Raw genomic sequence first — 12,121 nt, 5'->3', positions numbered from 1 at the left:
TTACAGGTTGCTTCCTTCTGGCTAGTCTGAAATTTGGTTAAAATCTTTCTTTTTTTTTTTGTTTTTGAGATGGAGTCTCGTTCAGCTGCCCAGGCTGGAGTGCAGTGGTGTGATCTCAGCTCACTGCAACCACCGTCTCCCAGGTTCAAGTGATTCTCCCGTCTCAGCCTCCCGAGTAGCTGGAATTACAGGCACCCGCCATCATGCCCGGCTAATTTTTGTATTTTAGTAGAGACGGGGTTTAGCCATGTTGGCCAGGCTGGTCTTGAATTCCTGACCTCAGGTGATCCACCTGCCTGAAATTTACTTTCCTGAACTTTTATCAGGAAAAAATATTAAAGGAAGCAAACCTCTATCAGAAAGTTAAAGAAATTCCATCTATTATATATCAGTATGAATTCAGTTTAATGACTATATCTTTTGTATTTGTTTTTTTGATTTTTTTTTTCTTTTTTGAGACAGAGTCTCACTCTGTCACCCAGGCTGGAGTGCAGTGGTGCGATTTCAGCTCACCGCAACCTCTGCCTTCTGGGTTCAAGCAATTCTCCTGCCTCACTTAGGCTCCTCAGTAGCTGGAATTACAGGCATGTGCCACCGCGCCTGGCTAATTTTTGTATTTTTTTTTTTTTGGTAGAGACGTGGTTTCACCACGTTGGCCAGGAATTCAAGACCAATCTAGTCAACATAGTAAGAACCCACCTCTTCAAAAAATTAAAAAATCGGCCAGGTGCGGTGGCTCCTGTCTGTAATCCTGGGCTCAAGGGATCCTCCCCTTGGCCTCTCAAAGTGGTAGGATTATAGGCATGAGTGACTGTGCCTGGCTACCTCATTCTTTTTTTTTGAGATGGAGTCTCACTCTATCTCCCAGGCTGGAGTGCAGTGGCGTGATCTCGGCTCACTGCAACCTCCACCTCCCATGTTCAAGCAATTCTCCTGCCTCGGCTTCCCAAGTAGCTGGGACTACAGGCGTGTGCCACCAGGCCTGTCTAATTTTTTGTGTTTTTAGTAGAGATGGGGTTTCACCGTGTTAGCCAGGATGGCCTTGATCTCCTGACCTTGTGATTCTCCCACCTTAGCCTCCCAAAGTCCTGGGATTACAGGTGTGAGCCACCGCGCCTGGCTAGCTACCTCATTCTTTTAATGACTACATAATATTAAGTTGTATGGATGCACATGGATTGATTGATTGGTCTTGCTCTAGTGCCGAGGCCGGAGTGCGGTGGTGTCATCTTGACTCATTGCAACCTCCGCTCCTGGGCTCAAGCGATTCTCCTGCCTCAGCCTCCCAAGTAGCTGGGACTACAGGCATGGGCCACCACGCTTAGCCAATTTTTGTATTTTTTGTAGAGACAAAGTCTCCTCATGTTGTTCAGGCTGGTCTCAAACTCCTAAGCTCAAATGATCCACCTGCCTCGGGCCTCCCAAAGTGCTGGGATTACAGGTGTGAGCCATTGTGCCTGGCCTGTACTGTAATTTATTTAATCTATCTCTATTTTTGGATATTTGGATTGTCTCCATTTTTCTGTTACTGTATTAGTCAGGGTTCTCTAGAGGGACAGAACTAATAGGATATATGTATATATGAAAGGGAGTTTATTAAGGAAGATTGGCTCACATGATCACAAGGTAAAGTCCCACGATAGGCCGTCTGCAAGTTGAGGAGCAAGGAAGCCAGTGACAAATCAGTCCAAGTTCTAAAACCTCAAAAAGTAGGGAAGCTGACAGTGCAGCCTTCAGTCTGTGGCCAAAGGCCTGAGAGCCCCTGGCAAATCACTGGTGTAAGTCCAAGAGTCCAAAAGCTGAAGAAGTTGGAGTCTGACATTCTTGGGCAGGAAGCATCCAGCATGGGAGAAAGATGAAGGCCGGAAGACTCAGCAAGTCTGCTTTTCCATCTTCTGCCTGCTTTATTCTAGCTACACTGGCAGCTGATTAGATGGTGCCCACCCAGATTGAGGGTGGGTCTTCCTCGTCCACTCCACTGACTCAAATGTTAATCTCCCTTGGCCGCACCCTCACAGACACACTAGGAACAATACTTTGCATCCTTCAGTCCAATCAAGTTGACACTCAGTATTAACCATCACAGTTACCAACAATTTATACTTTAATATTCTTGTACATATATCTTTGTGTACTGATAGCAACTGTCATTTTTCATGGCTATAAAAATATTCTCTTGGCCGGGTGTGGTGGGGGCTCACGCCTGTAATCCCAGCACTTTCGGAGGCTGAGGCAGGTGGATCACCTGAGGTCAAGAGTTCGAGACCAGTCTGGCTAGCATGATGAAAACCCGTCTCCACTAAAAATACAAAAATTAGCCAGGCGTGGTGGCACATGCCTGTAGTCCCAGCTACTTGGGAGGCTGAGGCAGGAGAATTGCTTGAACCCAGGAGGTGGAGGTTGCAGTGAACCAAGATCGCGTCACTGCACTCCATCCTGGGCAACAGAACGAGACTCAAAAAAAAAAAAAAAAAAAAAGGCCAGGCTAACACAAGGAACCTAACTTCCTCTTTCCTCTTGATTACTTTCTTTCCCACAGTCTCTGAAATTCTGAAATAGCCCTCTAACATCAGAAGAAAAGGTGAGTTGCCTTTCTTTTCTTTTCTTTTTTTTTTTTTTTTTTTGAGATAGAGTCTTGCTCTGTTGCCATGCTGTGCACCCAGCCCATGAGTTGCCTTTCTGCCCCAAGTGGTCCTTTTCAGGCCTTCTCATATTTAACTAGGAAAATTGATCAAAGGAGATATTATCCTGGAAATTCATAAATTCACCTAGTGCTTTACCATCTCACATTATTTGCATCGGGTCCAATATTAGTTTTGTGTTATTTCATATTCCAGCATATAAAGTTATAGATACATTTAGTATACACAGAAGATCAGAAACTGCATTAAAAAAAAAAAAAGAGATGGAGGCCAGGTGTGGTGGCTCACACCTGTAATCCCAGCACTTTGGGAGGCCAAGGCAGGTGGCCAAGGCAGGCCAAGGTCAGGAGTTCGAGACTAGCCTGACCAACATGGTGAAACCCCATTTATACTAAAAATACAAAAATTAGCCCAGCGTGGTGGTACGCACCTGTAATCCCAGCTACTCAGGAGACTGAGGCAGGAGAATCGCTCGAACCCAGGAGGTGGAGATTGCACTGAGCTGAGATCATACCATTGCACTTGAGCCTGCACGACAGAGAGACATTCCGTCTCAAAAAATAAATAAATACAATAAAAAAAAAAGAGATGGGGTCTTGCTATGTTGCCCAGGCTGGTCTCAAAGTCTTGGCCTCAAGCAGTCCTCCTGTCTTGGCCTCCCAAAGTGCTGGGATTACAGGAGTGAGCAACTGTGCATGGCCCAGAAAATTTTTTTTTGAGACCGAATCTCACTCCATCACCCAGGCTAGAGTGCAATCTTGGCTCACTGCAGGCTCCGCCTCCTGGGTTCAAGTGATTCTCATGCCTCAGCCTCCTGAGTAGCTGGGACTACAGGCATGCACCACCACACCTGGCTAATTTTTTGTGTATTTTTGGTAGAGATAGGGTTTCATAATGTTGGCCAGGCTGGTCTCGAACTCCTGAGGTCAGGTGATCTGCTTGCCTCAGCCTCCCAAAGTGTGAGCCACTGCGCTTGGCCAAAAAATGTCATATATGATCTTAATATCATTATTATACTTAACTAAATTAACAGTAATTTTCTACTATTGTCTGGTAGTCGTGCTTATTAAAACTTCCCCAATTGGCTGGGCATGATGGCTCATGCCTGTAATCCTAGCACTTTGGGGGGCTGAGGCGGGAGGATTGTTTGAGCCTAGGCGTTTGAGGCTGCAAATGAGCTATGGTTGAGCCACTGCACTACACCCTGGGTGACAGAGCAAGACCTTATCTTAAAAAAAAAAAAAAAAATCCCTAATTGTCTTTTATAGCTGGTTTGTTCAAATCAGGATCTAGCCAAGTATCATCATTGCATTTGGTTATTTTAACTGTTAATTCTTCAGAGTCAGAATTTGAACATAGTAGTGTGTACTCCAATGCGTTTGCTTTTTGTTATGTCATTGGAAAGAAGAAAAGCTTTTTAACAACCAGAACTTTGCAATAATAGAACAGACTACTGTAGTGAGCTCTTTGTTACTGGTGTTGTTTTAGTAGGCCAGGCTGACTCTGCCTTCTGTAGTGTCCAATCCAGTGGACAGTTTTCTTCATACCATATACTACTTTGTGGTATTTGATATGTGTGTTGTTTCCACTTTTGGTTTCTGTGACATATTAGGTTGGTGCAAAAGTAATTGTGGTTTTTGTCATTACTATCAATGGCAATATACTTTCTTCTGGTTTTATTCTTGCGTTTTTCCTTTTTAGTCTCATTTGTATACTCTTCCTTTTTTTGTCCTGTATATATTGATGTTCCCTTGACCACTTACCTGCTTTCACCTAAGCACAAAAAGAAGGTGCCTGGGCTTTGGTGCATGGTAGGAACTCGGTATTACCTAGAGTCATATTCTGTACTTTGGGAAATTTTTTAGTAAGTGCTAGTGACTTTTTTTTTTTTTTTTTGAGACGGAGTCTTACTGTCTTGCCAGGGAGTGCAGTGGCACGATCTCGGCTCACTGCAAGCTCTGCCTCCCGGGTTCACACCATTCTCCTGCCTCAGTCTCCCGATTAGCTGGGACTACAGGCACCCGCCACCACACCTGGCTAATTTTTTTGTATTTTTTTTTTTTTTTTTTTTTAGTAGAGACAGGGTTTCACCGTATTACCCAGGATGATCTCAATCTCCTGACCTTGTGATCCGCCTGCCTTGGCTTCCCAAAGTGCTGGGATTACAGGCGTAAGCCACCGCGCCCGGCATGCTAGTAACTTTTAAGTGTACATCTTCAGTCTAGTCCTCTCTCCTAAGCTCCAGTATGGTGTCTCCAACAGCCTCCTGGACATTGTTAACTGGTGTTCCTTCAGGCAACTTAAACTCAGTAAGATCTGAGAAGAATTTGCGTCTCCTTACACATCATATCCTTTAGGTGAATGGCTAGCCATTCTCCCAGTTACCCAAACCAGAAACATGGGAGGGATTCTAGTTAAACTTGGAGTCATCTGGGTACCTCTTGTACCTCATATGTCTACTTGATCACCTTTTTTTTTTTTTTTTTTGAGATGGAGTTTTGCTCTTGTCCCCCAGGCTGGAGTGCAATGGCGCAATCTTGGTTCACTGCAATTTCTGCCTCCTGGGTTCAAGCGATTCTTCTGCCTTAGCCTCCCAAGTAGCTGGGATCACAGGTGCCTGCCACCATGCCTGGCTAATTTTTGTATTTTTAGTAGAGGTGGGGTTTCCCCATGTTGGCCAGGCTGGTCTCGAACTCTTGACCTCAGGTGATCTGCCCGCCTTGGCCTCCCAAAGTGCTGGGATTACAGGTGTGAGCCACGGTGCCCGGACTTGAACACCTTTTTTTTTTTTTTTGAGATGGAGTCTTGCTCTGTCGCCCAGGCTGGAGTACAGTGGCACTATCTCGGCTCACTGCAAGCTCCGCCTCCCAGGTTCATGCCATTCTCCTGCCTCAGCCTCCCGAGTAGCTGGGACTACAGGTGCCGGCCACCATACCCGGCTAATTTTTTTGTATTTTTAGTAGAGACGGGGTTTCACCGTGTTAGCCAGGATGGTCTCGATCTCCTGACCTCATGATCCACCCGCCTCGGCCTCCCAAAGTGCTGGGATTACAGGCGTGAGCCACTGCGCCTGGCCAGAACACCTTTTTAAAAATGTCACTTATCTCTGCTCAGCATGGTAGTGCTGAGGCGGCTGAGGTGGCTGAGGCAAAGGGGATCCCTTGAGCTTAGGAGTTCGAGGCTGTAGTGTGCAGTGATCATGCCTGTAAAGTCCAGCCTGGGCAACATAGTGAGACCCCCATCTCTAAAAAAATGGTCACTTATCTTCTCTCACTTCTTTTTCCTCACTGCCAGTACCTTAATTAAGCCTTCCCTCTTATCTGTCATTAACAATTATCTTGTTTGGGTGCAGTGGCTCATGCCTGTAATCTCAGCACTTTGGGAGGCTGAGTTGGGCAGATCACCAGGTCAAGAGATTGAGACCATCCTGGCCAACATAGTGAAACCCCATCTCCACTAAAAATACAAAAAAATTATCTGGGCATAGTGGTGCGTGCCTGTAGTCCCAGCCACTCGGGAGGTGGAGGCAGGAGAATCGCTTGAACCCGGGAGGCAGAGGTTGCAGTGAGCCGAGATCGCACCACTGTTCTCCAGCCTGGGCAACAGAGCAAGACTGTCTCAAAAAAAAAATTATCTTATTGTACTCTATTATATTCATTGATTTACATGTATCTTTCAGGAGACTGAGTTCTTGGAAAGGTGGAGTCATGTTTTATTCCATTTTGTACATCCTCCTACCAGAGAGGCAATATTAACATAGCGATTAAGAGTACAGCCTCTGGGTTTGAATTCTGGCTCCTCCGCTTCTTTTTTTTGAGACGGAGTCTTGCTCTGTCGACCAGGCTGGAGTGCAGTGGTGTGATCATAGCTCACTGCAACCTCTGCCTCCTGGGTTCAAGTGATTCTTCTGCCTCAGCCTCCTGAGTAGCTGGGACTATAGGTGCACGTCACCATGCCTGACTAATTTTTGTATTTTTAGTAGAGATGGGATTTCACCATGTTGGCCAGGATGGTCTCGACCTCCTGACCTCGTGATCCACCTGCCTCAGCTTCCCAAAGTGCTAGGATTACAGGTGTGAGCCTCTGTGCTCAGCCTTCTACCACTTCTTGGTTGTGAGATTGGGCAAGTTAATTCCTTAATGCCTTCGTTTACACATTTGTAAATTGGGGGTAATAATGGCATCTATTTTATAGGACTGTTATGGATATTAAATGTAAAGCACTTGGAAAAGCATCTGGATTATAGTAAATGCTCAGTAAATACTATAGCACCTGTCCTAAAGCCTTGCACCTAGTGGCTACCCAATTAACATTTGAGTCAGCTAATAGAGGGGATTCCTGAATTGGTCTAAAGATTAAACTAGTTCATCTCTAACTGCCTTTATAACTTTCACCCTAAGTTTCTGTTTTATGTCATGGCTTAGGGCCTGGTGGATTGAAGTTACACAGCAAATATGATGCTTATTTAGAAGAGCTAATACACTTTTAAGAACTGGCTTTTGATCTGTCTGGTACTAATATATGCCATTGTGTATATTCGTGGTTAATTAGATAAGGGATGCCAGTTTTTATGCTAGATTGCCTTTGGTTTGAATGGAAACTGCAACTCATTATTTCACAGCAGGAAGGTAAGCTCAGCAGTATTGCTTTTATTTTTAATTAGATAGTCATCCTGAAACGTGTCTGTATTAGCTGTGTTGGTCCATAGAAAGAATAACAGCTGAGCAGACTTGTCATGTAGATTTGCCATGTGTTTGGTATTGATACACAGCTAATGTACTTGTCAGTATTCCCATTCTAGAAAATAAGTGGCCAGTTTTCGGGGCTACATATTACTCATAATGAATCCTTAATTTATTCTGGATTAGGTGGGGACTTTTTATGATTATAGAAAGAAAACAATGTGATGAGGATATTGGTATATTATGTTTGCAGTCTTTTTCTACTCTTTATATCTAGGGTGTGAAAGTCCACTGAATTCTCAGAAATCTTTTTTGATGACTTTGTGGGATAATATTACCAACTTTGTGCACATATGATTCCATATTTGGATGGACATTGACAATTTTTGATTGCTGGCTGACACTGCCAAATCCAGCTACCTGTTGGTAGATAGCTTTCTAGTGCATTGCAGGATTAAATTTGTGTCTGGACTATTGTGAAGTTGTATCTACTTTGTTTTGCTGAAATGAAGGGGTGAGAAACAGCAGATACTGTGCATTAGAATGGAAAATAGAGAATGATTGGGATTTGGCATATTTTCCCTGTCAGCATGGCATCCATTCTTTAGAAAGCCTGTTTAAATCAATACTGATTTTTCTGTCTGTAGAATGTGATTGAATGACTGAAGGAAGGCTTTTGCCTCAGAGACTGGTAGAGCCATCATTTGTACACTTTTTACTCACCCTGTTGAGGGAAGTTGGGGAATAGTAGTAGCTTTCTACGTAGCTAACCCACAAATCATTTTTCACAGAAATTTGATGTATTTCTGAAGGAGACATGTTATAATGGGAAGTGCTTAGGTTTGAAACTACTAGATTTGAATCCTGAGTCTCACTAGTTGTTTATATTTGGAGAAGTCATAATCTCTCAGGATTTTGATTTCTTTTTCTTTAAATTAGAGATGATAATACATGCTTTGCAGAGTTGTCACAAAGATTACAGATAACATACAAAACCCTTGGTAGAATGCGTGGTCTGTAGTAAATAGTGGCTGCAGTTATTATTTCCAGAAGCATATTTCAGACAGGAGTGTGGTCTGAGAGTCCTAAAAATTTCCTTGATATTTCTGAAAAATGATTTTTGGAATTCTTACTTTGGAAAGATTAAAAAATATAATATTGAAGATAGGCTATTTAGTTCACTAACTTTTTTTTAATTGGTAGCTTTTCAAATTACTTTCCCCAATCAAAGCTTTTAGTTGTATTTTCTTTGTGAAAAACAAATCAACTCCTATATAAATGAAATTAATATTTGAAAAAACAAACCTACCTATGTAGAAAAGAAAAAGTTTTGAACTTCCAAGTTTATAATATTTAAGTTGAGAACATAGTTACTAAAAAATTACTTGTGTCCTTATAAGCCACATAATTTGGGCATTTTTGAAAGACTGCTAAATGCTATTTCCTAGTCTAAGAACAAAAATGATTAAGCTTCTCTAACACAGTGTTTCTCAACCAGGGCATTATTGGCATTTAGGGCAGGACAATTCTTTGTTTTGTGCATTGTAGGACATTTAGCTTCCCTAGCACCTGCCCACTAAAATACCAGTAGTGCTCATCCCACACCCCCATCATTGTGACAATAACGCCTTATGTTTTTCTGGTAATGTGATGGTAACTGTAGTTATCTCTGTTCCAAAAAAAGTATATTAATACTTTGAGGGACACTATTAGTATCAATAGATAATACTCAATATATAAGACCAAGAGAGGTAATCCAGAGGCAGAAACCATCATAAAATGTCATATATTTGAAATAATGTATTTTCTTATTTTAAAAGTAATCATTCCCACATTTTATAAAATTGGGCTTGGTTTTAGGGTTTGTACGTGTATATCTTTGCTGCCTTTTATTAGTTATTAAAATTTGTCAGAATAAATTGACAGCCATTTATAGCTTGGTTGATTTCATTTAAAATATAGTCATTTAGTTTGCTCGCCAAGGGAGCAGAAGGCATGGTTTGGAAGTTTTCTCTTGCTCAGCACTTCTCTAAAATGGATTAATACAGTTCTTACTCCCATGGAGAGGACTCTACTTCTTACCACTCATCTCAGCTATCTAATCATTAGTATTACTTTAGCATGTGATAGGGTCTCTACACTAAATATCAGTGTTTGTTATGAGCTCTCTAATTTTTTTTTTTTTTTTGAGACAGACGTTTGCTCTATTGCCCAGGCTGGAATGCAGTAGCCCAAACACGGCTCACTGCAGCTTTGACCTCCTGGGCTCCAGCAATCCTCCCACCTTGGCCTCCTGAGTAGCTAGGACTACAGGTGTGCACCACCATGCCGGGCTAATTTTTGTATTTTTTGTAGAGACGGGGATTTCACTATGTTGCCCAGGCTGATCTTGAACTCCTGGGCTCAAGCAGTCATCCTGCCTGAGCCTCTAAAATTGTTGGGGGATTACAGACGTGAGCCAGTGATCCCACCCAATATTTTAAGTTTGTGGACTTAAATAAGTTAGGCCATCCAAAAATTCACCCATGATTTTGAAGTTTTAGCCTAAGATATATATATTCCTAGGACTAAAAACTACGGTGGAAATTTAGCAGAATAAAAGTTTGAGAGTCTAGAGGCTTGGCTTGCACACTGGCATGCTGTTTATTTGCCAAATTGTTATCAATGTTTTGGCTTAAGCATGCTACATAGCTGTTGCATTAGCAATAGACTTAAAAAAAAAAAAAACTGTGAAGGCCGAGCACAGTGGCTCATGCCTGTAATCTCAGAACTTTGGGAGGCCAAGGCGGGCGGATCATGAGGTCAGGAGTTTGAGACCAGCCTGACCAACATGGTGAAACCCCATTTCTACTAAAAATACAAAAATTAGCCGGGTGTGGTGGCGCGTGCCTCTAGGGAGGCTGAGGCAGGGGAATCCCTTGAACCTGGGAGGCGGAGGTTGTGGTGAGCCATGATCGCACCACTGTACTCCAGTCTGGGTGACAGAGCGAGACTGCATCTTAAAAAAAAAACAACAAACCTGTTAAACTTTTTTGAAATTAAAAAAATTTAAATGCAGAAAAGAGTACAGTATAATAAATAACACCCAGAATTAACAAATATTAATTAATGAAAAATGATAAAATTAACAGATATATCATTTTGTGTTATTTGCCACAGGTTTGTTTTTCAATAGAAGGAAACAAAAATATTATTGGCAGTCCATCACCTTAACCACTTGGCCACTTCATCACGTTAAGGAAACAAAATTTTATTAGTATAGTGGATGTCTCTTTTGTTTCCCTTTCTTGTCATTTCACTTTCTTTCCCCTGAGGCAAATACTATTATGAATTTAGTGTCTTCATTTTTAGTTCATGCTTTTAGATGTTCACTATAAATATGTAATATCTTTAATAATTATAATAACAAACAGGAGTTGAATGCTTATTGTTTATTAGGTACTATCCATTTAATCAATAACTTTGTGGTTATTGTAAGGATTAAATGAGTTAATAAATATAAAATGTAGGCACTGTTTTTATTTTCATTTTTCAGATAGGGAACTAGAGATGTAGAGAGGTTAAATAACATATCTAAGTTCATATAACTAGAAGTTACGGAGCAAGGATTTGAACCCAGATTGTTTGGCTGTAGATGTCATAGCATTCATGACTATGCTATTCTGCTTTTCTGTAATATATAATATATAATATATATTATTATTATTATTATTTGAGATAGAGTCTTGCTCTGTTGCCCAGACTGGAGTGCAGTGGTGTGGTCATGGCTCACTGCAGCCTTGACCTCCTGGGACCCAACTAATGCTTCTGCCTCAGCCTCCTGAGTAGCTGGGACTACAGGCGCATGCCACCATGCCTGGGTAATTTTTGTTTTTGTTTTTGTTTTTTTTGAGACGGAGTCTTGCTCTGTTGCCCAGGCTGGAGTGCAGTGGCACGATCTCAGCTCACTCAACCTCTGCCTCCTGGGTTCAAGCAATTCTCCTGCCTCAGCCTCCTGAGTAGCTGGGACTACAGGTGCACACCACCACGCCCAGATATTTTTTGCATTTTTAGTAGATACAGGGTTTCACCATGTTGGCCAGGATGGTCTCGATCTCTTGACCTTGTGATCTGCCTGCCTCGGCCTCCCAAAGTGCTGGGATTACAGGTGTGAGCCACCGCGCCTGGTCAATTTTTGTATTTTTTGTAGAGATTAGGTTTAACCATGTTGCTCAGACTGGCCTCGAACTCCTGGGCTCAAGCTATCCACCTCCTCGGCCTCTCAAAGTGTTGGGATTATAGACGTAAGGCACCATGCCCGATTAGTATATATTATTTTGTGTATTTTTAAAATACATTTTTATAAAAATGGTATACTGTGGGGTGGTTGTGCAATTTTTTTTCAGTAACTTCTTTGAAAACCTTTTCTTGAATTAAATTTTAATAATATCGCTAACTACAACTTGCTTTTCTCCCCAACTCTACATTACTTTTTAAATACATTCACATTGCTACTTATAATTTGTTCATCTAAGTGCTGTATGTTTTATTGAGTAATATGCCACAGTTTATTATCTATTACTCCTACAGATGAACTTTAGGTTGTTTCCTTTCTTTCCGCTGATTACACACACTGGTAAAATGAAATGAATATCTTTATTCAGGCCTCTTGTGTTTATGTGCAAGAGTATCTCTAAGCATATAACATTTAAGAAATACATTTACCCCTCTTGAAAAGTGCTGTGAACCAAGATACAAATACCAAAATTTAGTCTATTGTGCTATTGTAAAACTTCTAACAAGACTCCTACCAAAGCA

General features: G+C 41.8%; 1 protein-coding gene across 2 annotated transcripts in view, besides 1 other annotated feature; it reads left to right on the top strand.

Annotated features, from left to right (window-relative positions):
- TESK2 (testis associated actin remodelling kinase 2) overlaps positions 1 to 12,121 on the top strand; it is a 147,281-nt gene that overhangs the window by 13,476 nt on the left and 121,684 nt on the right. The gene's annotated exons all lie outside the window — the stretch shown is intronic.
- Positions 4,084 to 4,133: a silencer, noted in NCBI's record as "silent region_829". NCBI's record gives its function as "represses an Ori minimal core promoter by ATAC-STARR-seq in GM12878 lymphoblastoid cells {active_cell/tissue: GM12878}" and the evidence as "EXISTENCE:reporter gene assay evidence [ECO:0000049][PMID:35858748]".

This window comes from Homo sapiens, chromosome 1 (assembly GCF_000001405.40).
Source record: "Homo sapiens chromosome 1, GRCh38.p14 Primary Assembly".
Taxonomy (NCBI): Eukaryota; Metazoa; Chordata; class Mammalia; order Primates; family Hominidae; genus Homo; species Homo sapiens.
Note: the sequence above shows the minus strand (reverse complement) of the source record. Positions and strands in the feature narration are given on the sequence as shown.